Source organism: Homo sapiens, chromosome 10, assembly GCF_000001405.40.
Source record: "Homo sapiens chromosome 10, GRCh38.p14 Primary Assembly".
NCBI classification, from domain to species: domain Eukaryota; kingdom Metazoa; phylum Chordata; class Mammalia; order Primates; family Hominidae; genus Homo; species Homo sapiens.
Genome location: NC_000010.11, coordinates 103,542,449 through 103,566,878, shown reverse-complemented (window position 1 = coordinate 103,566,878; position 24,430 = coordinate 103,542,449). Strand labels below are relative to the sequence as shown.

Below are 24,430 nucleotides of genomic sequence, written 5' to 3'. Positions count from 1 at the left end.
ATATATGTATATGTATGCCACCAAAACACAGAAATGTAAACCATGTCCTCAGCCCTCCTACATTCCTGTTGGGACACGACACAACCTGGAAAGCCAGTGTTGAGAATGGTTTGGCAGTTTCTCATGAAGTGAAAAATGCCTAACATATGTCCCAGCATCACACTTCCAGGCATTTCCCCACAAGAAATGAAAACATGTCCACACAATGACCTGTACACAAACGTACAGCAGCTTTATTCATAATAACCCTGAACTAGAAACAACTCAAACGTCCTTCAGCTGGTGAGCAGTTAAAAATGTGGCAGCTCCATGCAATCACTACTCTGCAATAAAAAGGAACATAACCACTGATATACACTAAAAAAATGGCTCTCAAAAGTATGCTATGTGAAAGAAGCCAGATGCAAAGGGCTGTATGCTGTACGATTCCATCCGTATGATATTTTGGAAAAGGCAAAACTAGAGAGAGACAGAGATCAGTAGGTATCAGAGAAGGAGAGTAGGGGAGAGATTTGACTACAAAGAGGCAGGAAGGAAGTTTTTATGGCGATAGAAATGTTCCATATCTTAGCCTGGACAACACCGTGAGACCTCATCTCGTTGTACAGATAAAAATAAAAAATTAGCCAGGCATGGTGTCTCGCACCTGTAATCCCAGCTACTTGGGAGGCTGAAGCGCAAGGATGGCTTGAGCCCAGGAATTTGAGATTGCAGTGAGCTATGATAGCACCACTGCACTTCAGCCTGGGTGACAGAGCATGATTCTGTCTCTAAAAAAAAAAGAAAAGAAAGAAATAATGTTCCATATCTTGAGACTGGGGTAGTGGTTACACAACTTGTACATTGTAAAAACTCACAAAACTGTACACTCGAAAAGGACGAGTTTTACTATATACATATTATACCTCAATTTAAAAGCTACAACTGGCTGGGTGCGGTGGCTCAGGTCTGTAATCCCAGCACTTTGGGAGGCCAAGGCAGGCTGATCACATGAGCCCAGGAGTTCGAGACCAGCCTGGGCAACATGGCAAAACCCCTTCTCTACAAAAAAACTACAAAACTTAGCCAGACATGGTGGTGTACACCTGCAGTCCCAGCTGCTCAGGTGACTAAGGCGGGAGGATCACTTGAGCCTGGAAAGTTGCAGGGAGCCGTGAGAGCACCATTGCACTCTATCCTGGGCAATAGAGCAAGACCCTGTCTCAAACAAAAAATTAAATTTAAAAGTAAAATCTATAATACAACTAACAAGTCACATCTTCATTCAGACGGAGAGAAGAGAGGCTGCACTTTCTCACCACCACGGCACCCCCATCAGCTCACCCTGGGCAGTGCCTAGGATGTGGCCATCTACCAGAAGAGCCCCAGTGCTTAGTTGGGCCTGTCACCCTAACCCTTAAGTTCCTTCCACAGCTGTGAAACAGAACGGGGGTTCCCTGCCCCAGGTATGGAGAGAGAGCACTTCATAGCTGCAAAGCCCCACCCACTGATTACCGTGCCTGTCTTCTGCCAGGCCCGGCCCGGCCTGAGCAGCTGTCCTCAGCCCCTTCTGTCTGTACTCAGCTCGCTGTGTGATCATCACCCACTGAGCCACCTCTGGGGAGACCACTTGAAAAGCCTCTCTGGTGTGCTGGGCATCTCCTGCCATGGACTGTGGGCTCCTGTCACGTGGCAGGCCCCAGCTGCCCTCCTGACCTGCCCCTCCCTGTTCCTGGCTCCAGGGGAGCCCCTGAGCACCCCTCACCCCATCTACCAATCCTGCCTCAGGAATAAGCACCCCTGGGTTCTGTCCTCTCCTGTCCACCCTGCGGCTACAGCCCTAACTCAGGCCTCGCCACTCTTCTAAACCAGGGCTGGGGCCGCGATGCGCTGTGCCCAGCACTCCTCTAGGGGGCGCTGTTCTCATGGACTATGAGTGTCCAATGTGCAGCCTTCATCAGGGTGACCCCCCTCCTACCCCACTGCAGTGTCCCTGCTCCTGCTACCCCCTCCTCCATCCTGGCATTAAAATCTTGGAGGCAGGGAGTGGGGTGGCAAGCAGAAAGCAAAATGAGAATGAACTTTGGACATAGCTCTGATGCCAAGGGTCCAGAGGGGACAGCTGGAGGTGGGGCTTCCCCCCTACACTATGTAACAGGGTCCCTCCCAGCACTGGGACTATGACCCTTTAAGGTCCCTATTCTACGAATGAAGGAGTTGGATTCGGAATGGTTAAGCAACTCACTTGTGGTCACACAGCAGTTATGTGGCAGAACTGGGACTTGAACCCTGGTCTTCCAAAGCCATGTCTGGGGACCTTTACCCTACTCAGCCTGTGGTACTAGAGCTCCTTTTCCCCACGAGTCCAAGACAGCAGGCAATTCGGGGAAGGCTGTGTGCAGGAGGGGCTGGGCAGCCCAGGCTAGGGGAGCAGCTGCAGCAAAGTGCCTCAAAATGGGGGGGGCGTGTGGGCTGCACAACTGCTCTACAGAGGCACACACAACTGGATGGAGCCCCAGTTGTGCCACGTGGCTCTCAGCAGAGCTCCCAGGGAGGGCCCTCAAGTGACAGGTTTACAGGCTTCTTGGGAGCCCCAGTGGGGGCACCCTCCTCAGGCGAGGCTGCTGCTGACATGGTGGAAACTCCCCCGACAGCCCCATTCCTCCTGGGCATTTATGAGCTGCCAGACACAAGCCTGGCCAGCTCTCCGGGTGACCCTCAGCTGGCAGACCACATTCCTGCCTCTCAGCGGGGTCCCAGGGCAGACGCCTTGACACACATACCCTCCGGAGTGACCTCCCCATGGCCCCCACCAAGCTCTGCCCCAGAACCACTGGCAGAGACCCAGATGCCCTAGGCTGGGCTCAGCTGGGCTGCCAAGGAGAGATGGGGGGGAGCTCACCACCCCAGCCAAGAGCAGAGGCACTGATACTGATGACAGTGCCCAGCCTCTCATGGCTTCAAGGGCAGTGTCTTGATTTATGCCCCCAATGCCACTCTGGCACAGATCCTCTGAAGTTAGGTTTACACATTGAGTGAGGAGCCCAGATCTGAACCCAGGGCTGGCTGCCTCCAAACCTAGCAGCTCTGTCACTAACTGTAAGACCTTGGGAGCCTCACTTTCCTCATCTGTAAAATGGGGTCATGGCAGGCCTTCATGGGATTCTTGTGAGGATTAAAATAGATGGTGTTTGTAAAACTCAGTAGGTAGTTGCTATTATTATTATTATTACTATTTATATCATTCTGCTTTCCTATCCCCACACCTTTGCTCAAGCCATTCCCTCTGCCTCATCTGCGCCTCTCCAAACCCCACCCATCTTTCAAGGCCCAGCTGAAGCCCACTGCATCCAAGATCATCTTGTTCTGAATCTGTGGTCCTGAATACCAGTGCTGGCATCATCATCTTCATCCAAGAGACAGTCTCGTCTCACTTTCTGGGCGGTGGGGCGAGGCACAGAGAATGAGTATTGGAGGCAAGAGGCCGTGGGTTCAAACCCTGACCAGGCCACAGACTTGCTGTGTGACTTTGGACAAGTTGCTTCACCTCTCTGGACCTTGATTTATTTCTCTGTAAAATGAAGCTCATCATAGCTGCCCTGCCCACCTCTCTAGGCTGTAGTGAGGCCCCGGTAAGTTTATAGATGTGAAAGAATTTTGCAAACTTTAACACTTGATCGCAACATAAGGTCTTTTTTAAAAATATAAAAGCAAACATAACTACTGCAGGAAATGATCGGCTCATTTCAGTCCAATGGGAGACTAGGAACTTCAGTCTTATTTTACCCCAAACGTCCTAATCTCAGATTGCCAGGGTGGTCCTGATATGGACTCGTTTAACTGCATTAACTGAACAGGGCTCCCTCTGGGGGAAAGGATTTAGGAGAATGGTTGGAAAGCTGGGGATGCCTGACTCCTGGTGGGAGAAGGACAGGTGGGGATGGAACTTGGGGGACAGAGATGATTGTAAAACTGGGCAGAATTAAACTTCTTTGGGTTCCCTAAAGGGGCCTCCACCTCCCACACCTGTCTTTGATTTCCAGGCTTGGCCCAGGCCCATTTCTGTGCTGGGAACATTTCCTTCCTCCTTCCCACCTATATATCTGCCTTTCTCATGCATCCTTCGGACGTAGATTTTTCCCAGAAGTCTCTCTGACCCCCAGACTAGGTTAGGGGCCTTACTATGGACCTTTGAGGACCCCATCAGCCCCCTAACAGAGGACGCATCACCAAGCAGCCTTTCCCAATCCTGGTTCTTACACAAGATTAAGCCCAGATACCCCGAGGCACTTGTTGTATGCAATGCATTGACTTGTCTCTTCTGCATCCAGAATGATTTTGGTTCTATGCCATCCTCAGGAGAGTTGAGAAGTCACTCCCATCAGCTTCTGTGTTCTGCAGAGTAGCACTGCACTGGGAAAGGCTGCAAGGTTATTTGTGCCTGTCTTTCCCCCTGATGGACTGTGAGCCTCCCTAGGGCAGAGACCACTTTCTTTTTTTGTTTGTTTGTTTGCTTTGAGACGGAGTCTGGCTCGGTCACCCAGGGTGGAGAGTCGTGGCGTGATCTTGGCTCACTGCAACCTCCGCCTCCCAGGTTCAAGTGATTCTCCTGCCTCGGCCTCCTGAGTAGCTGGGATTACAGGCGCGAGCCACCACGCCTGGCTAATTTTTGTATTTTTAGTAGAGACGGGGTTTTACTATGTTGGTCAGGCTGGTCTCGAACTCCTGACCTCATGATCTGCCCGCCTAGGCCTCCCAAAATGCTGGGATTACAGGCGTAAGCCATGGTGCCCAGAGCCATTGTCTTTTTTACTACTGTATCCCTATAGCCTAGTTCACAGCATATAGCAGGTCCTCAATAAAAGTTACTGAATGAATTGCTAGTGTTTGATTCTTCTATCTACTGATGAATTGGCAGGAGTTCAGGCAGCACCCACTTCGTGCCTTGCCCTTTCTGGTGTCCGGTGGAGAAATTAGAAAAAGAAAGGAATAAAGGGAGCAGCTCCCTTCCCTGCCTAGCATGCCTGACTACAGCCCTGCCTGCTCAAGAACCTTCAATAGCTCCTCACTTGCCAGCAGTAGAAAAGAAGCAGATAAGGAAGGCCATGAGGGTTGATTCTTTCTTGTGTATCAAATGCTGCAGCATTTGCCCTTCATACACAACCTGATCACACCCTCCAATCCCTGCAAGGCAGGTGTCTATGGGAACAGCCTCTAAAATGGCCCCAACAATCCCTGCATCCACCTCTTGGCATTCAGGCCCTTGTGTGACCCCTTCCCCTTAAGCGTGGGTTGGGCCTAACAAGTAGCTTCGAATGAATAGAATACAGAGGAAGTGGCTGGTGCAGTGGCTCATGCCTGTAATCCCAGCACTTTGGGAGGCCAAGGTGGGCAGATCACCTGAGGTCAGGAGATCGAGACCAGCCTGGCCAACATGATAAAACCCCGTCTCTACTAAAAATACAAAAAAATTAGCCAGGTATGGTGGCGGGCACCTGTAATCCCAGCTACTTGGGAGGCTGAGGCAGGAGAATTGCTTGAATCCAGGAGGTGGAGGTTGCAGTGAGCTGAGATCACACCACTGCACTCTAGCCTGGGTGAGAAGAGTGAGACTCTGTCTCGAAAAAAAAAAAAAAAGGAATACAGAGGAAGTAATGGAATGTCACACCCAAGACTGGGTTATAAAAAGACTGTGGCTCCCATCTTGGTTACTCTCTTGCCTCTCCTGAATTGCTCCCTCGGGGGGAAGCCAGCTGCCACGGTGTGGGGCCACCCCATGGAGAAGCCCGTGTGGCAAGGGACCAAGGACTGCCCATAGCCACGTGAGTAAGCTTGGCAAGCCTTGCGAAGCAGCCACAGCCAACAATGTGATTGCAACCTCATGACAGACATGAAGCCGGAGGCACCTAGCTAAACAGTGCAGAGATTCCTGAGCCACAGAAACTGGGAGATCATTAAATGTTTGTTGTTTTAAGCTGCTAAGTTTTGGAATAATTTGTTAAGCAGCAATAGATGACTAAAACAGTATCAATAGTCCCATTTCACAGATAAGGAAACAGAGGCTCTGAGAGGCAATAACTTGCCCAAGGTCACATAGCTGGTAAGTGGCAGAGCTGGGCTCTGAACTCAGATCTGTCGCACTGGTGCAGAGGTTCCTCCACGGGCTCCAGCTAGCTAACTGGCATGCTCAGTCCCCTCTCTCCTCCTAAGTTAGTTTCTCCATGAACACCACAGCCCCTGTGCATGCCCAGGGTGGGGGCCATGTTAGCACCCTGGCACCTCCCACAGAGTTCCTGGCATGCGAACGGCAGGTCCTGCTGCTCCCTGGAAGATGAATGAACTCATCATGACAGGGTGGGTGAAAGAAAGTGGCAGGCAACGGTTAAGACTGGCACCTTCATAGTCAAGTTAATCCCCAACTGAGCCTCCTGCTCTCACTCACTCTGCAACATCCCCATCCTGACATTTCTAGCAGCCAGAGGTTATACAGCTGTGCCTCCCAATTCCTCACTGCTCTGGGAGAAGGACCAGTCCTCCTCCTCTCCCTCTTGTGTCCCACCTCAAGATTCCAGGAGGGGACTCCAAATGTTAATTCTTCAGGGCTCAGCTCCCAATCCCTGCCCCAGTCCTTCCAGCCCCCCAGGCCAGGCCTGGAGAATGAGGGGAAGTGCAGCCCAGTAACATCAGCACCCCTAGCTCCCCATATCAAATCCACAGTCATGCATGTGTACATGCGTGCACACACACAGATGGCACGTGTGCCTCATGGCAGACACAACCAATGTGCAGGGCTGGGGGACAGAGGCAGCAGGTGAGTGTGTATGTGTGTGTGCATGCGTGTATGTGTGTGTGCGTGTGTTTATGTGTGCACTTGTGTGTATGTGTGCATGTGTGCGTGCATTGTGTATATGTGTGCATGTGCATATGTGTATATATGTGCGTGCATGTACGTGTGTGTGCATGTGTGTAATATGTGTGTGCATGTGTGTGTTGTGTGTGTGCATGCATGTGTGTATGTGTGTGCGTATGTGTACATGTACATGTGTGTGTGTGCGCACATATGTGTGTGCATGCACTGGCAAGCACACACAGACCTAGAGGAGCCTCCACAAAAACCTTCATAAAAGCACACTCTGTGGAGTGCTTACTATGTACCAGGTGTACTGCCCTTAGCGTCCACTGGCTCACTTAATCCTTCCTACAACTCTATAAGGTAAAACTTACCCTTCCCAATTTACAGAAGTGGACGCTGAGATGCAGACAGATGAAGGTACTGACCCAAAGTCACACAGCCAGCAAGAGCAGAACAGGATTCAAACTCTCACCGAGAACACCTGCTCCGCCTTCCCTTCCTTTCCAAATACTGCCTGGCCTCACTGCCCAGCCCTGGCCTCACCTCCCTGATGGCTACCCCACCCACCCCTCAGGCCACCTTCAGCTCCAACTGCCCTGCCGTCCAGCAGGCAAGGGCCTCTGTCCACCCCACACTCTTCCCCGCTACCCACTGACCCAGCATCTGCTGGGAGCCACTGTGTGCCAGGCGCCAGGCTGAGGTAAGGGAATGCAGAGCTAGAGTGACCGGATGCCCACCTTCCTGGAGCCCACAGGCACGAGCCAGGTGTGGGGATGTGCACCTTCAAGCTCCGGAGCTCCCCTTGGTCTAAGCCCCCAGAGCTGCTGCCGGGAGATAGGTAGCTCCCTCTGCTAATCTTGGGTTTCACAAGGCCACTGGATGCCTTCTCCGCTGCTGCCTGCTTGAGGATTAAGGAACCCAAGAACGGTAAGTGGGGGACCGGCTGCAGAAGGAACAAGTCCTGGCTTCCCCACTGAGGCGCCAGCTGTGTGGCCTCAGTTAGCCATTTCCCTTTCCTGGCCACAGCATCTCCCTCTGTGACAGGAGGGGGTGGGAGCCAATGTCTCGGGTCCCTGTACGCCAGCATCCTCTGACACTCAGGCTTGTTAAATCCAGAGACTAACCTGAGGGTGACATGAATGTCTGGGTGCAGGTGCGTGTGTCACCCACACATCAGCCGTCAGCAAGGGGTCCCTTCCTTGCCCTGAGGGAGCATTGAAGGGAGGTGAAGGAGGAAGTGGGGGGAAAGGAAGAAGAGAGGACGGCAGAGGCGAGAGGAGGGGGACCTCCCAGTGTCACTGCTGCCTCCCTCTTCGCACTACCCTTCCCGCCCCTGTCAGCCTGCTCTCAAGACCAGGAGCAGCTCTGGAAACCTACCGAATGGAAGAGATCAAGCGTGTAACCGCTTAAACCATTTTCCAAATGGGAATTCATTTCCCCATGGGTCTCCTGCCAGGCTGGTCCCAGAGGAGCCCGACTCCTCACCACCAGCCCCACTACACACACACACACACACACACACACACACACACACACACACACAGGCATGGCACAGGCACAGAGTACCACAGATGTGGCTGCCCCCGCATGGAAACACAGGCCCGGCAACACACAGTCGCTTCAATCCACAGTTAGAGACACATCACACAGGTACACAGAGATCTAAAACACAGATACACATCTGTTGACATCAGAAGCTCAGAGAGCCAAAACACGTCCACAAACAAAACACACAATTAGATGACCCCCGACACACATACAGAGTCCTGGGTCCTCCTGTCACCCTCCCCTCACTCACTTTAACGCAGCAATCCAAAATGTTTGGCCCGAATCAAGCCGAAAGTCCAAGGCCCTAAAGAAAATACAATCAGCCAAGCGCGGTGGCTCACACCTGTAAACCCAGCACTTTGGGAGGCCGACACAGGTGGATCACGAGGTCAGGAATTCAAGACCAGCCTGACCAACATGGTGAAACCCCGTCTCTACTAAAAATACAAAAAATTAGCCGGGCATGGTGGTGGGTGCCTGTGATCCCAGCTACTCGGGAGGCTGAGGCAGAGAATTGCTTGAACTCAGGAGGCAGAGTTTGCAGTGAGCTGAGATCATGCCACTGCACTCCAATCTGGGTGGCAGAGAGAGACTACGTCTCAAAAAAAAAGAAAAGAAAAGAAAAGATAATACAATCAAGGACCATTTCAATGTGTCTTCAGGAGCCCAGCTACAGGCTACGGCACCCCTAGGAAGGAGCAAACCCCTGCGTCTCCCGCTGGCCCCAGCTCATTTCCCAGAAGAAGGTGAAACCAGAGCCGCTGGGGCAGCTAGGGCGTGTGTACAGGTGTGGGCACACATGGGCGTGGATGCATGAGGACGCATATGCAAGGGTTCTGATGGGGGTGGAGGTTGGCTGTGTGGACACAGGCAAACACTCCCTCTCCAGACCTTCCAACTCCTGTCCCCTCTGCTTGTGCAATGGCAAAGGCCCAGGGCCAGCTTAAGGGAGGCCCCGCCTGGGAGGGCGGTCCTGGCAAAAGGGTGGAGGTCAAGGCAGATGTGGCATTTGATGAGCGCTCACTGATGGCCACCTAGCCTGGATGCCCAATTCCTAGAGTTCTTAGAGCACCGCAAGTGATCCTCCTGCCCCCAGGGAAATGGGACAAATGAGAGGGAGGGAATATGACCTTGGGCCCAGGTTGCCTTTCCAAGCCCTCTTGATTTTCCCCATGTTGAGTTCTCTGCTCACATGATTCATGTAATCCTCACAATAATCTTGTTTTCTTTTTTTCTTGAGACGAGGTCTCACTATATTATCCAGGCTGGTCTCGAACTCCTGGGCTCAAGCAATCCTCCCACCTCAGCCTCCAAGGTGTCTGGGATTGCAGGCGTGAACCATCGGGCCTGGCCTGCACAGCAATCTTAGAAGGAGGGTGCTATTACTAGCCTCATTGACAGGTGAGAAAACTGAGGCTCGGGAAGACATTTGCCTTCCTTACAAAACATATCTACCCACTCCCAGAGCATGAGCTAAGGTGGTCTCACCCTCTAGGGAGCCTGTGCTCCAGGCAGCTGGAGGACAGTGTACTATGTCCTGAGTCTGCTCTGAGAGCCTCTCTGTCCTTCCCAGACCACAGGCTTGCCCAAGTCTGACTCCAGTGGAAAATGCCAGTCGGCTCCAGACCCTCTGCCAACAGGCCCCGCCGGGGCCAGCAAGCCCTGAGAAGAGCCCCCACCCCACAGACGGGCAAGGCCAGGCTCAGGTCAGCCCAATCCAACTCTCCGGCCAAGGCCCAGGCCACTGGCAGTGCCCCTGGCCTGGCTCCGGATTATGTGTCTTCCAGGGCCTTCCATCTGTCACTTAGCCCTCCAAACCCAGGACGGAATTCATTTCCTTTTAAGAGAGCCAATGATTTGCTTTTCCTACATCTTTCCCTGTCTTTTTTCTTTTTTAATTAGAAATTACTCTCCCAAAGTCCAGAGCCTGGAAGGGAGAAGCCACCTGGTCACCAGTTCCGGCTGCGGCTGCCCATGCGCTCCTGCCACCACCCTCCTTCCTTCCTGAGCCTCTCCCAGGCTCCTCAGTGCCCACTGGACTCGGCAGATGGACACTGTCCCACCTCCTAATACCCCATCCAAGCAGGGAGCAGGGTACATAGGGGAGTGCGTCAGGGACTCCCCAAGGTCAGCCTATTCTGTTCTGGCTGGTTTGTAAAGGACCCCAGTTCCCAGGGCCCAGGGAAGACACACAAGTCCCTAGGAAGGCTTCTCCGGGTCTGCTGCCACATCGGCCATGGCGCTCCCAAGACCACAGTACTAGAGCTAGGGGAACAAGAGGACAGGGTTTGGAGCAAGCAGGAGCTCTGCAAATGGGGAGCCAGCCAGTGGCCCCCTCTCTTTAACCCCTCCAGCTCCAGGCTGTGGGTCTGTCTGACTGTGGACGTGACCTGCAGGGCTCAGAAGTTCTCTGGCCTCCCCCACAGAGCACACACTTGGAGAAGCGAGGTCAGGCGCTGTGGGGTGCTGTCACTTGCACACCCGTGTGCTTAGGCACAAGCCGGCACAGGTGCACACCCACGGGCACCTTCAGTGCCTACTCACGAGCACAGACACACATGCACACTCAGCACACATGTGGGTGCCCACATGTCTTTGCGGGGCTCCAGCATAGAACACAGCACCATCTCCAAGGCCCACATCCCAGAGCCGACAAGCAGGTCCCCTCAGCTGTCTAACTAACTGTGGCTGCCTCCGTCCCGGGAGAGGTGGGTAGGGAAACCCAGGACCTCGCATCCCACTTGGGGACTAGTCAGCACCTTGGTAAGAGGACAAGGAGGTAAGAGGACAAGGAGGTAAGAGGACAAGGAGACTTTGTGGGGAGCCTCAGCTGCCTGACCTCCCACCATCAGTGGGAGGGCGCCACTGTCAGGGAAGGCACCCCTCTTCCTGCTCTACCCAGCTCCCTTGCTGCCCCCACCCCAGTGCCCACCACCAAAAGGTGCCCCCACACAGCCCCAGACCCCTCCATGGAGTGAGAAGTAGGGGCATGACCAAGCCCTCAGCCCCAGCGCCCCTCCGCCCGGCCTCCCCAGGCGGTCTCGGGCTGGGGTGGGCGGGCCCGCAGGCATCCGCGGGGCCTTACCGTGGAGAGTGCTCCGGGTGATCTGTCCCCCCATCTCCGGCGACGGGCAGTGCAGCCACCTCTGCTGGGCCGGCCGGCTGGTCACCGAGTCGCCCCGGCCGGCTGCTCCCCTCCTCCTCCCCCGTCTCCTCCCCCGCGGGCGGAGACCGGCATGGCAGGGCCGAGGCCCCTCCCGCGCCCCCACGCGCCCCCACGCGCCCCCTCCGGCACACGCGCACGCCGCCCGCCCGCGGCCAGCCGGCCACACGCGCACGCAGCACGCACACCCCTCCGGCCGCCGCCTCCCCGCTCCCACCCACTCCAGCCTCCCCACCTCCCGCGCTGGTACAGCCGATGGGATCTGTCATGTTTATTTACATAAGGAGGAGGAGACTGGAGGCTTCCTGAAATAGCAGCGAGCTCCAGAAAGCGAGCAGAGGCGCGCACACGCACACACATCCCCATCACACACAGCCCCATCTCAGGGATGTAGTGACACACACAGCCCTCCCTGAACGCCCAGGCCGACAGCCATTCATTCACTAGCCTCATGCACCTACTACATGCAGAGGTCCTGCTAGGTGAGAGGGGACCCCCTGGGAAGCAAAACAGACATCGTCCCTGCCCTCAAGAGGTTCACAATCAAGCTGATGGAGCTGTTAACCAAGTGCTAACACCGTTTCTGTCTTCTTCCAGGCTCTGTTCCAAGGGCTTTGCAAGTATTAACTCCTTTGGTCCTCACAGGCTGAATGATGAGGTCAGTATTACAGTCATTATCAACAGATCAACAGGTACCATCTCTAAGATGATGATGATGGTCTTACAGATGAGAAAACTGAGACAAAGAGAGGCTGCTCACCTAAAAGGTGGCAAGGCTGGAATGCAAACCCAGGCAGTGCAGCACCAGAATCCAGGCTTTTCCCCCCCACACCAACCTATCCCTTTAACCATGCACATACACACACACCACACACCCCAACACAGACCTGCACTATTCTTCTGCATCATGTCACACAAATGTGCATATACATGGGCTCATAAGCACTTGGGAGCATTCACCACTGAGCGCACTCAGCCATCTACTGACCACCAGACATGTACTCACATGGTTACATGCACACCTCTCAATGTCCACAGTCAACATACGCCTGCTTCCACAGACTCGCAAAGTTTCTAGAGAAATCTTAAGGTGGACACTGGCACCCCACACTCAGGGAAGAGGGAAAGGTGGGAACAGAGGGGGAAGAGGGAGGCTGGGATGGCAGGCCCCTCCAGCCCTGGGCAGGCATGCCGGGAGCCCAGATCATCATCAAGAGAGCAGCTGCCATGCAATGAGCATGCACCGTGCACCAGGAACTGTGTGGGTGGCAGTGGCTATGATGATATCTGTTTTACAGAGAAGAAAGTGGAGGTTCTGAGAGGCTAAGGAGCTTGCGTGAGGTTACCCAGCAGGTCACAGGCAGGACCAGGACTCAGGCCATGTCTGAGGGACAATGTCACCATCCAACACAAGCTCAGGGGCCTCTACCAGGACAACAGGACAGCACCATCCTCCCTGGCCCTGGCCTGGACACCAGCCCCTGTCCTCAAGGTCTGGGATCTTGGACCCCAGGGAAAGGGCTGGGTGGGAAGAGAAAGCCAGCGGGCAGGTGGGAGGACAGAGGGGTAGGGGCTGAGGAAGGGGCCACGGGAAAGGTGGAGGCTGTCCCACAGCAGATGGAACTCAGAGGCCTGGGCCCTGTAAGGGACTGGACTGGGTCCTGAGCCCGCAGCTCAAGACCCTGCTGCTCCCACTTCTGAGTGGGTCTGGGGAAGCGGTTAGGAGGGACATTCAGGCCTGACCTAGAGTCATCAGCAGAGGGCTGGGCGGGATCTGGGGGAGAGCAAGCCCAGTCGGCCGATGCTCCCCTGAGCCAGAGGCATGCCCACGACTTCCGGGAGAAGCCACGACACCCGAGTCCGCACAAGGCAGCCCACTTTCCACAGGCACATACCGGCTCATAGCTGTGCAGTCACACGTACACACACGCACACACTTCCTGGCACACATACCCAGTTCCCATGGGGGCGGGAAGCTAAGTCAGTCTGACAAGGAGAAAGTAAGCCAAACTCCTTTTGTCGGATAATGATCATAATAACAGCAAACACGAGGTCTTACTGCATGATCCACACTGCCCTGAGCGTGTGACGCATTTAACTTGCTCAATCCTCACGACAACCCTAAGAGATCAGTGTATGTGTATGCCCATTTTACAGATGAGGAAATTGAGGCCAAAAGAAGATGCTTTGGAGGCTGTTCCTGTAGCAGCAGAGTCACCCTCCACACCCTGCCTGCCTTTTAACACACTCAGCTGGCCCCTTGCCCACCAATCCCTCGCACATGCCAGCCTGGCCTTCCTATGGCCCCACACCCAGACATCAGCCTCCCTCTCACCTTGGTTCCTGCCTTCTCCTCACTTGGAATGCCCCCTTCCCATCACCCAGCACTGGGAACACTTCTTCTGGGAAGCCTCCCTAGGGCCCTAGGTAAGAGTAAGTCCCTGTTCTTGGCACTTATATTTCCTCTGAGCTCCTGAGCTGGGCATCTCCTAACACTTACCCTACTCGGTCCTATACAGAGAGAGCCATGGCCTGGCTGGGGCCCTATCTGCTTGCCCCAGCTTCTCCTGGGTGCACCTCAACCATTTAATTCAACTCTACCCACATTTATTGATCCCCTACTATGTGTCAGACACTAAGGATGCAAGGGTGGCCCTCAGTGGCAGGTCCTAGCTCTCGCGGACTTCCAGTCCAGAAGGAAACAGACATTTATCCAGTAGTCTCACTAAGGAGTATATCATCACAACCTGAGAAAAAGGGTCTGAAAGAAAGGAGCAAGGTTCTGGGAGGCTCAGGACAGGCTTTCCTGAAAAGCAACAGTGAAGGCAAGATCTGAAGGCTAATGGCCCTGTGCTGTGGAGGTGGCTTAGGGGAGAGAGTGAGTACAACATAGGCAAAGGCCCTGTGGCTGGAGAGAGCTGGTGTGTTCCAGAAGCAAGGTTGGTATGGAGCAGGGTGAGCAGGAGGAGCCTCAGGAAACGCTCCATTGCCGAGCCAGGATGGGTCAGGGATACACCAGGAGGGTCTTGAGGAGAAGGGCGAAGACTCTGGCCTTCTTCCTGAGAGCAATAGGGAAGTCCTGCAGCAGGGAGGCAACAGACCAGACCCACATTTCAGAAAGTCACTGTCCTATCTGGTTGTGAAGGGTGAGGGAGGAGGCAGGAGGCTCAAGGGGAGGGAGCAGCAGCAGCAACATCCCGCATCCTGCACCCCACAGGGTGAGCCTTGCCTGACTTAGCCTCACTCCCCTCGGGCTTCACATCACTCCTGCCCCTGCCCGGAGCAGGCACTCAGAAAACATCTCACAAACAGACCTGAAATCATGTAATTTTCAGACACAGGACTGTGGGAAAGCAGCCAAGTGGTAAGCAAGCAGGGATGGGGCAGGTTTGGGGCTCCACGAGCTGGAAGTCCTTCAGATGAGCAGCAGCCCCAACTCTGGCCACTTGAGTGAAACAGAACAGAGAACTGGGAGGTGGCCCGAGTGGCCCCCAGGCCTTTGACACTGCAGTCTAAAAGGGTTTTCCCACAGACGTATGAGCCTGTTTCCCACAATCACTTCCCCAAATAGGATGTGGCAATCAATGTCCTGTGTCTGAGGCTTCCCTCTCCTGTCACTTCCTCAGGCAGTGTCCAGGACCTCTAGAGGGAGAGGCAGCCCCGGGATATGGCAGAAGAGCTGCACCCCTTCTCTGTTTTATTCACTGGGGCATCCCATAAAATTTCATTTGGGGCCGGGCACAGTGGCTTACACCTGTAATCCCAGCACTTTGGGAGGCTGAGACGGGTGGATCACTTGAGGTCAGGAGTTCAAGACCAGCCTTGCCAACATGGTGAAACCCCATCTCTACCAAAAATATAAAAAGTTAGCCAGGCGTGGTGGCACACGCCTGTAATCCCAGCTACTGGGGAGGCTGAGGCAGGAGAATCGTGTGAACCCAGGAGGTGGAGGTTGCAGTGAGCCAAGATTGTGCCACTGCAGTCCAGCCTGGGCGACAGAGCGAGACTCCATCTCAAAAAAAAAAAAAAAAAAAAAAATTCATTTGACCAAAGGATTCTGTTACTAAAAGGGTGAGAAAATCACTAACATACATCATTCATTCACTTATTCATTCATCAACCATTCACTGAGTGCCCACTATACACCAACTGGTGAGCAGGACCCAATGCCCACCCTGCAGAAGCCAGGGGTGTAAAACGGGCATGGACGGGGTAACAGGCAGTTCCAGATCCCAGCAGAAGCCAGGCAGGGATTGAGGAATCAGGTTCTTTCAGCTCTGGCTAAATGATCTGTGTTCCATTCTATAGCCGCACTTTGGAAACGATGTGAAAGGGGAATGGAGAGGCTATAAGTAAATATATAGCAGAAGCTATAAATGCTACCATTTATTGATCGCTTACTGTGTGCCAGGCACTGTGCTAAGTATCTTATGTATCAGCCAATCCCAAAACTTCCCTTCAGGAGTTATAATCACCCCCATTTTCGGGCTATAAAACTGAGGCTTAGAGAGGTTATTCTGAAGGCAAGACAAACGAGGCTTCAAACCCAGACCTGCCTGACATCAAAACTCATGCTCCATCCAGGAAAGGGCAACGGGCAGGGGCCCCTCTTGCTTAGAGGAGAGAAGACAAGGGGACAGTGGACCGTCTCCTTAAGGAAGCAGAAGGGTTCTGTATGGCAGCAGAGCCTAGACGTTTTCCAGAAGACAGAAGGTGACATTCCAGGGATGAAGCCTAAATGCAGGTGGAGAACAGGCAGTAAGGCTGGACTTCTCATCCGCTAACAGGTGACCCAGACAGACACTGGAGATGTCATCCTGGAAATTGTGAAGAACACAGACCCATATATGACCTGGGTGGGGACTTAATACCTCAAAGCCTGCAGGCAGGAAGCAGGGCTGGCAGTGCCCCTGGGGGCCTGGTCTGACAGAATCCCCAGCTGCATCTGTCCTCTCATGCCATCTAGGGAACCTTAGGCCCCTTGGCTCTCTGAACCCATTCAGCTCCCAAGGCCCTCCCCACTACTATAGCTGTCCCTCTTTTCCCTGCCATCTCCTGTCCCCTGACCCCTTTCAGACAGCTCCTCTTCCCTTGGGTGCCATCTTGGTTTCCATGATGGTCTACCTAGCTCAAGGCTTTCCTCACCAAGTCCTCTCTCATCCAGGTTCCCCAAGGCCTAGCACCTCATTCCCAGCCTAAACCTGCCCTCTCAGAACTCAAAGTCTAAGGCAGAGCCAGCAACTCCAGAATAAAACATGGAACAAATTCACTGGGGAATAGAAACCATCACAGTCACAGTCACCAAGCTCTCTAATGGGGAAGAGCCTCCAGAGAGCACTGGGGCCAGCCCCTACCTTCAAGCAGGCAAAGAAGTTCTGGGCCCATTTTACAGGTGTAGCAAAGAAGGCCCAATAAATGATAGAGACTTTGCCAAGGCCACACAGTGGGTGGAAGGCAAGGAGGACTGGGACCCAGGAGTAATGTCTTCTGCTGCTATGCCTAATATGACATATAAATCCAGGCATCAGGAGGTATAGAAGACAACACTGGACAAGGGAGGGGGTAACTTCTTTTTATGAAGTAGGGGGAAGTGACTAGGGTCTGGGGAGGCCAGGAAGAGGAGGTGACCCTGCTGTGGAGGAGCTGGGAGGCAGCCCCTTGCTGCTATAGTGTTTCCTTCATCAAGAACAAGGGATAATTTGATTGAGTTGATGAGCCGCCTCATCAGCATTTGAGGCTTATGGCCATCCTGCCAGGGCCCCATCCTCTCTACTCATTAGGCTGGGCCTGGCAGTAGAGAATAGGAAGCAGGGAACCCCAGCTGAAAGCTTCCTTCTATGCCCAGAGCCAGGACAAGAGTGGAGGCTGCTGCCTCGAGTCTGGAAGAGTGAGAGATGAGGAGGGAGAGGAGAGCAAAAGTACTCAGAGATGGAGAGTGCAAGCCAAGTGCTGCAGAGAAACTGGAGCCAGGGAGCCCAGAGGGCGTCCTCGGGGGTTGGGACAGGTGCCCCAGCCGTGACAGCTGCCAGCCGCCCAGGAGGATGGGAACACAACAGGTGCAGAGGAGGGGTGGAGACTGAAAGGGAATCTGAGCAAACAGAACCTGGATGGAGTTGAGGTCCCTCCCTGCCAAGGCCCACTGCCAAGCAGCCCTTTCTCGGCCTCTCCAAGACACAAACACACCTGCTCGTGCTCCCCAGTTCCAGGCCTCAGGGCCAGCATGGCCAGCGTAGACTGGACAGAAGGATCACCATCCATGCCAGGCAGAAAGGATGGAACAAGGAAGAAACCAGGTTTCTATTCCCAGGACAGAGTGTGCCAGACAAAGCCCACACCCACTGAGTCCCTAGCTGGAGGCAAACATTTGCCTATGATAAGATCTGTGTCACAGGTCAGGAAGGGTGGATGGATGTGCCCACCCCACCCACATGGAGGGTGGGAGCTCTGGTCTTCAGGTTGGACAGGCAAGCTACTGAGCTTCTCTGAGGCTCCACCATCTCTTCTCCATGGTGGAGATCACATGGCCCAGAAACTTGTGAGAACTGAATAACATAACACCTGTGACGGCCGCTGCCTGGCTCCATCCATAACAGCAACGCTTGAGAGTCAGAGAACTCGGGAATCCACGTAGAACTGGAAGGACTAAAGTCTCTGTCCCAGCCTTGGAGAAGAGTGACTTGGGATGCAGGATATGCATATAGCACTAAGAATACAGCCAGGCGTGGTGGCTCACACCTGTAATCCCAGCACTTTGGGAGGCCGAGGCGGGCAGATCACCTGAGGTCAGGAGTTCGAGACCATCCTGGCCAACATGATGAAACCCTGTCTCTACTAAAAATACAAAAATTAGCCAGGCGTGGTGGCACACCCCTGTAATCCCAGCTGCTCGGGAGGCCGAGGCAGGAGAATCAATTGAACCCGGGAGGTGGAGGTTGCAGTGAGCCGAGATTGTGCCATTGCACTCCAGCCTGGGTGACAAGAGTGAAAACTATCTCAAAAAAAAAGAAAAATACATATTACCCCAAGGAGGAGAAATAGAAGACCTGCTTTAATAAGAAACATTTACTCGGTACCCGCTTACTCTGCATCAGGCACATTCTAAGCTTTGCATGTATGATTGCATGGGTGCCTCACATGCAAATGCCATTTCAGAGCACTGGGTAGCAGTCAGTTCTTCTAAGGAAGTAGATTAAACAGTCCCTTATCACCTGGTTAGTGCTGCATTTTTGTTCAGGAATAGAATGAATTTTAAACTGGAAGCTAGCCTTTGTCCCAGCAATCACAAGTGATAAATTAGCAGGGTCTGAATACATAAGATTTGCTCCCTACACCAGAACCTGGATGGGGAGGGTGAGGAAGGGCAGGCAACGAGACTTTATGGGGAGAAGAGACGCAGAGAAATGAGGAGACCCAGGGTGTCGCAGGAGACAGGATGAGCGCGGGATGTGCTGGAACAAGACATGGGCCTCGTCCATCCGAGATGCGGAAACACACTCTGCTGATCCCTGATGGGCCTGCCTGGATTATGAGAAAAGCTGGCAGCTGATAACAGGAGGTTAAATCCCTCCTCCACAGGCAGAGATCCTCCTCAATCCATCCCTCCCTTCACCTCCACCCCACGCACACACTCACACTCACATTCACATATACAACTTTAGCCCCACGGCTCAGCCTACGCTCCTGGTGCCCACTCCTTCTTGTGTCAGGCCCCCAGCTAGCTGAAGCCACCCCAAAGCTGGGAGGCCCCCCTCCTTCCTCTGGGGATTCTGCTTCCTCTGGCTCTTGCCTGCTTCCTGCCTCTCCCAGGTCCAGCTTACAGAGGGATGGCCAAGCCCAGGACCAGCTGACTTGGCCTCCACTTCTGCTCCCATGCCCTGGCCCTGCCCCTGCCTGCTACCCCTCCTGGGGCCTCTGACTCCAACCTTTGGGCTCAGATACTGGGTGTCAGTAGCTACAACAAAGTGACAGTACAGGACCCCACAGGGGCTCAGGCCCTTGGCTGGGGTACTCCCAGTATGGCCACTGGCAGCTGGATCCCAGTGCTGTGACACAGCAAATACTACTCAGTGCCACCAGTGTTGTCTACACTAGGGGCTTCACAGTAGAGGTGGCAATTAAGAGTAGGCTCCAGAGTCAAACTTCCCGGGTTCAAACCTTGGTTCTAACATCTACTAAGTGTCCATTTCCTCTTCTGAAAAATTGGGTTGATAGTAATAGTGCCTAGCTCCTACGGCTACTGGGTAGATGAAATGAGCTCATGCATGTCGTGTGCTCAGAACAATGTGGGGTGCATGGGAAGCGCTAGTATGTGGTAGCACTGTAGATGAGCTACTCCTGACCTCTATACAGAGGCCCTGACCTTACCCTTCCTTACAAATGAGGAAACCAGGACACAGAGGTGGGAAATGGCAGAGTCGGGATTTGATCTCAAGTCAGTCTGCCCAGAGCTGTTCTATCTGGGGGCTTCTTCCTCTCAAAGCTCTTTAGCCCCAAAAGGCCTAGTGGCCTGGTCTCCCCCCACCTCTGACCTGGCTCCCCTGAAGGGGCTTTAGCCCATCAGTAGGGGGTCCTGGCACCTCTTCCTCTGAAAAAACTAGGCAGGAACTTGACAAATAAGTACCCAAATCAATTCAGAAAATTACATCTGCTGCCAGCATCTTGAAACATCTGCTCTGGGCCCCCAGAAGGGGAGGAACTCAGCACCCTAGATGGGAACATTGAGGCTTGGGGACACTGAATACTTTGCCCAGGTCACACAGCTAATGCTCAGCTAAGCTGGGATTTAGAAACACACCTACTGGACATCAGAGCCCAACACCTGCCCCTCTGCCACGTGGCCTCTCAGAATGACCCAGCTCTTAAAAGCTATGAAACAATGTCACCAGTATCTTACTGGATCTGCAAAAGTACCCTATCAGGTACCACAGGACAGATGCTCATCCCTTTGTACAGAAAGAGAAAAACAGAGGCTCAAGGAGGTGGAAATTAATTGTTAAAGCTATAAAGTGCCAGAGCTGGGCCAGAACCCAGATTTCAGACTCAAGAGTGCAGGCCCCAGGGCTTTGTCTACTGCAGAGTGCTGCCCCTGAGAACAGCCACCTTCGGTTAAATAAACACAGCATCAATCAGAGGGACCCAGGGCCACTGCACCCACAAATGTAAAATTTGAGCTGGGCACAGTGGCAAACGTCTGTCATCCCAGAGCTTTGGGAGGCCAAGGCAGGAGGATCACTTGAGCCCAGGAGTTTGAGGTTACAGTGAGCTATGATTACACTCCTGCACCTGGCCTAGCTGACAGAGTGAGACCTTGTCTCTAAAAAAAGAAAAGTGAAATTTGATCCCAATGTGGACTGCCCTGGACTTTGGCTGTAGTGTGCCCACAGTCACCATCCTACTTTGCCAGAGTCCCCGTCATGCACCTAGGCACCCACCTGCAGGCCTTGCCCCAGCCAGGCTCTGGGCCACTCCCACACTAGGGGTCAGAGCTTCAGCACCACACACGTCTCCAAAAGAGAAAGTGGGGACTGAGGCAGGGGGTGCCAGCTCTCACAGGTTGCAAGGCATAAACCTGAAAATGCTCCAGAAAGAAAAAGGGTGTGGCAGTCCCTTGCAGGAGCAGAGGGCTTGGCTTGGCTCAAAAAATAGGAACTGCTGTTCTCATACAGCAAAGGTGAGAGATGACTTGAGTCCAGCCACTGCACTATGCCAGCTCTGTGCCTACCACTATGGGCCATGACCTAGAGCCCAGAGGACACCGGCCATGCCAGCTGCTGGGCCACAGGCAAGATCCCCAGGCACAGAGGTACCTGTGAGTAATGGGGTCCATGCAGTGCCTCTCAGGAAAGGCCAGTGGCTCTCATCCCCACTGAGTCCAGGAAGGAACTCTGTCCCCTGCTACTACACCTCCAGTCCTAGCCCTAGACTGAGTCCCTGACCCCAACCCCAGACAACCTCACATCTCATAGCCCCACAAACAGGGGCTTTTAGTCCCTAAAGACCTGGGGACCATGGGCATGTGGCTGGCTCAGGGCTGGCTGCCCCACCCTCCTGAGCCAGAGTTCAGGTGTGGCCACCAAAGGTGGCTGTCAGGACTGTGGTATTCCTGCACAAAGGACAGCCCAAGGAGGGGAGCCACCACAGGGTGACTGCAATGACAGAAACCCACCGCTCTAGCTCCTAGCTGTTCCCTGCAGCTGCCCCATCTCACAATTTGCACATTCATCCGTGGCTCATTGCCGCCGCCTTCCTTTCTTCCCTTTCCAGTAACTTCTCTCAGGCTCCTGTCCCCCGACACCTCCCTCTTCGGGATTACTTCCTTCAGAGACCCCAGGACTGTGCAGGGTCATCATTGAGAAAGCAAAGCCTTCCCTGGCAGTCAGAACTCCTGAGTTCCAGGCAGGCCCTGAGGCTCTGGAATTTAGGGAGGGCAGCCCCTTTTAATGTCTCCGTGGCTTCTCCCTCCTGGTGGCGGTGGTGGCAGTCAGGGCTCCAGAATGTGGGCAGCAAATGCAGCTCCTGGGTTGGGCTCCACCAGCAGGCAAATAGGGGCAGGAGGTCTCTTCCCTGGGAACCCCTCCCTTCTCTAAAACAAATGCTGCACCCCTCACAACCTCAACCCTGCTTAGCCAAGCCCAATTCCCTCTGGGGAAGAGAGCTCTTTGTTCTCAGGGCAAGTGAAGGAGGTGGGCTACATTAGACTTTGTTTGGGGGTCCTTTTTTACTAACCATGACACTGCCTGCCATAATTCACTGTGTGACCTTGGGCAAGTCAGTCCCCTCTCGGGACACAGTTTTCACACCTGTAAAATAGAGGCTTTGGACTGGTTCACTTTATCTCTGAACCAGGAGTTCCCTGAATCAGGAATGTGGGATGGGGATCATTTGGGGGGAGGCAATCAAGAATTTCTAAACTGTCTGAAGAAGCAGCTCCTTCTCCCATTCCCCCTTCCACCAGGGTCTGGTGGGAAACCCAGGATGGGCCAGCGGCACATTCTTCACTGGAAGTGACTGCTTCTCAGTCCTCCTCCTGGCCCCACCCAACATGGGCACCCCCAAGGTTCCAGGGCCCAGTTTATCCCTTGAGTTCTGTTATCCAGGCCGGAAATCTGGTGTCAGCCCAGATTCCCCATCCAAGAGGTCACCGTGTCCTTCTCAAATCCATCCCCTCCTTCCCTCCCCTGGCTCTGCCCATGGTTCAGGCCCCCAGCATCATCCTGCTCTGGACAATCATTCCAGCCTCCGTCCCCCTCTGCAGGGCTGCCAGGCGGGCATCTCTGCCCGACTCAGCCCTCTACCTCCTGTGGCTCCCGAGCATCAGGATAAACTCGACCCCCACTTTGGGGATTATTCAAGGTCCTCTGTGAACTGACCCCAGCCCATGTGTCTGGCCTCACCTTCCATGACCCCCCCTACCCCACCCCATGTACCTATGCTCCATGCACACGAGCCAGTTGTGTTCTAGAACATGGCACATCACTTGTCTGTTGCTTTTTGAACACTGTCCCTCTCCTTGGAGTGCCCCTCCCTGGCACTGGTCCCACAAACACTCCCACCTCACCTTCAGCCCCCAGCTCAGAAGAGCCTTTCCTCTGAGATCATCCCAATGCCCTGGGATGGAATAGACCAGACTATCCCTCTCCAAGGCTGTCCAGCCAGTCCTCTGTGCAGCCCCAGCCCTGCAGCCATGGCAGGAGGCCCTTCCCATACTGGGAGCACCCTGAAGGTAGAAAGGTATCTTTTTATCTCTAGATCCTTAGCATCTGACAAGGTGGTCACTCCATAATGCTCAAAGTAGATTTCATGAAGAAAGGAAGAAAAGAGGAAGAGGAGGAGGAGGGAGGGAAGATGAAAGCCTGGAGCCGATGGTGCGGGCTCTTTACTCTTCCCCCTTCTGCTCCTCTCCAGTGCCCCAGGTCCCTGTGGACCCAGTGAGACCCAAAGGTGACAGATTGCCTGGCCGTGACCTCGCAGCACCAGTGGGGGCCCTCCTTGTTCCTGCAGTACTATTGGCAGCACTAGCCTGTGCTCACTCGAGCAGAAAGAGCCAAGAAGCCACGCAGCCAGGTGTGTCCTGGAACATGGGGGAGCCAGAGTGCAGAGCCTTATCTGACCATCTTCCCTGGAGGCAGCAGAAGAGCATCTGCCTGCCCCCAGCCACCCCACTGCAGGACTACAGGGAGGAGGGGCGGAAAACCTTGTGCCTGGCTCCCTCCCAGCTTCTCCCGGATTAAAGCGGCAGGGGACAGAGCGCCTCCAGCTCATTTGCATAAACCATTTATAGCAGCGCCTTCAAACCCACGCCTTCCAAGAAGAAAAAAGCCCACTGCAATTGCCTGTGGCTTCCCAGTCTGTCGTTTTCCCTTCTCTTTCGTTTTTTTGTTTTAATGACAGGAAGCTGTGCTCAAGAGAAATCTCTGCCCTGGCTGTTCTTGGCAGCAGAGGGAGCTGTGCTTTCCCTCCAAATTGAATAAGAATGATAAGCAGCCAGCCCCCGGGTGTCAGTGACTTACAGTTTGCAAAGCCTACGAGCACTCACGAACTGTTTCAGTCTTCCCAGGAAGCACAGGAGGTAACTATTGCCAGACCCCATTTTACAGATGAGAAAACCAAAGCTGAAAGAGGGTAAGTGACTTGTCTAAGCCACAAAAAACTAGTAAGTGACTGTAATGGACATGGTGGCTGATGCCCAACATCTACACCACCCCAAGACAACAGCAGTTCTCAGCCCTGGTTGCACATCAGCATCACCTAGGAGGTAATAAAATTACTGGTAGAGCCAAGTGTGGTGGCTCACACCTGTAATCCTAGCACTTTGGGAGGCTGACGCAGGAGGATCACTAGAGCCCAGGAGTTTGAGACCAGCCTGGGTAACATAGCAAGACCCTGTC

General features: G+C 53.8%; 1 protein-coding gene across 1 annotated transcript in view, besides 1 other annotated feature; it reads right to left on the bottom strand.

Annotated features, from left to right (window-relative positions):
* Positions 1 to 24,430, bottom strand: part of NEURL1 (neuralized E3 ubiquitin protein ligase 1) — a 98,842-nt gene that overhangs the window by 25,668 nt on the left and 48,744 nt on the right. The window lies entirely within an intron of this gene.
* Positions 2,117 to 3,097: an enhancer, noted in NCBI's record as "H3K4me1 hESC enhancer chr10:105323539-105324519 (GRCh37/hg19 assembly coordinates)". NCBI's record gives its function as "activates a minimal SCP1, AML or CMV promoter by ChIP-STARR-seq in naive H9 embryonic stem cells {active_cell/tissue: H9 hESC(naive)}" and the evidence as "EXISTENCE:reporter gene assay evidence [ECO:0000049][PMID:30033119]".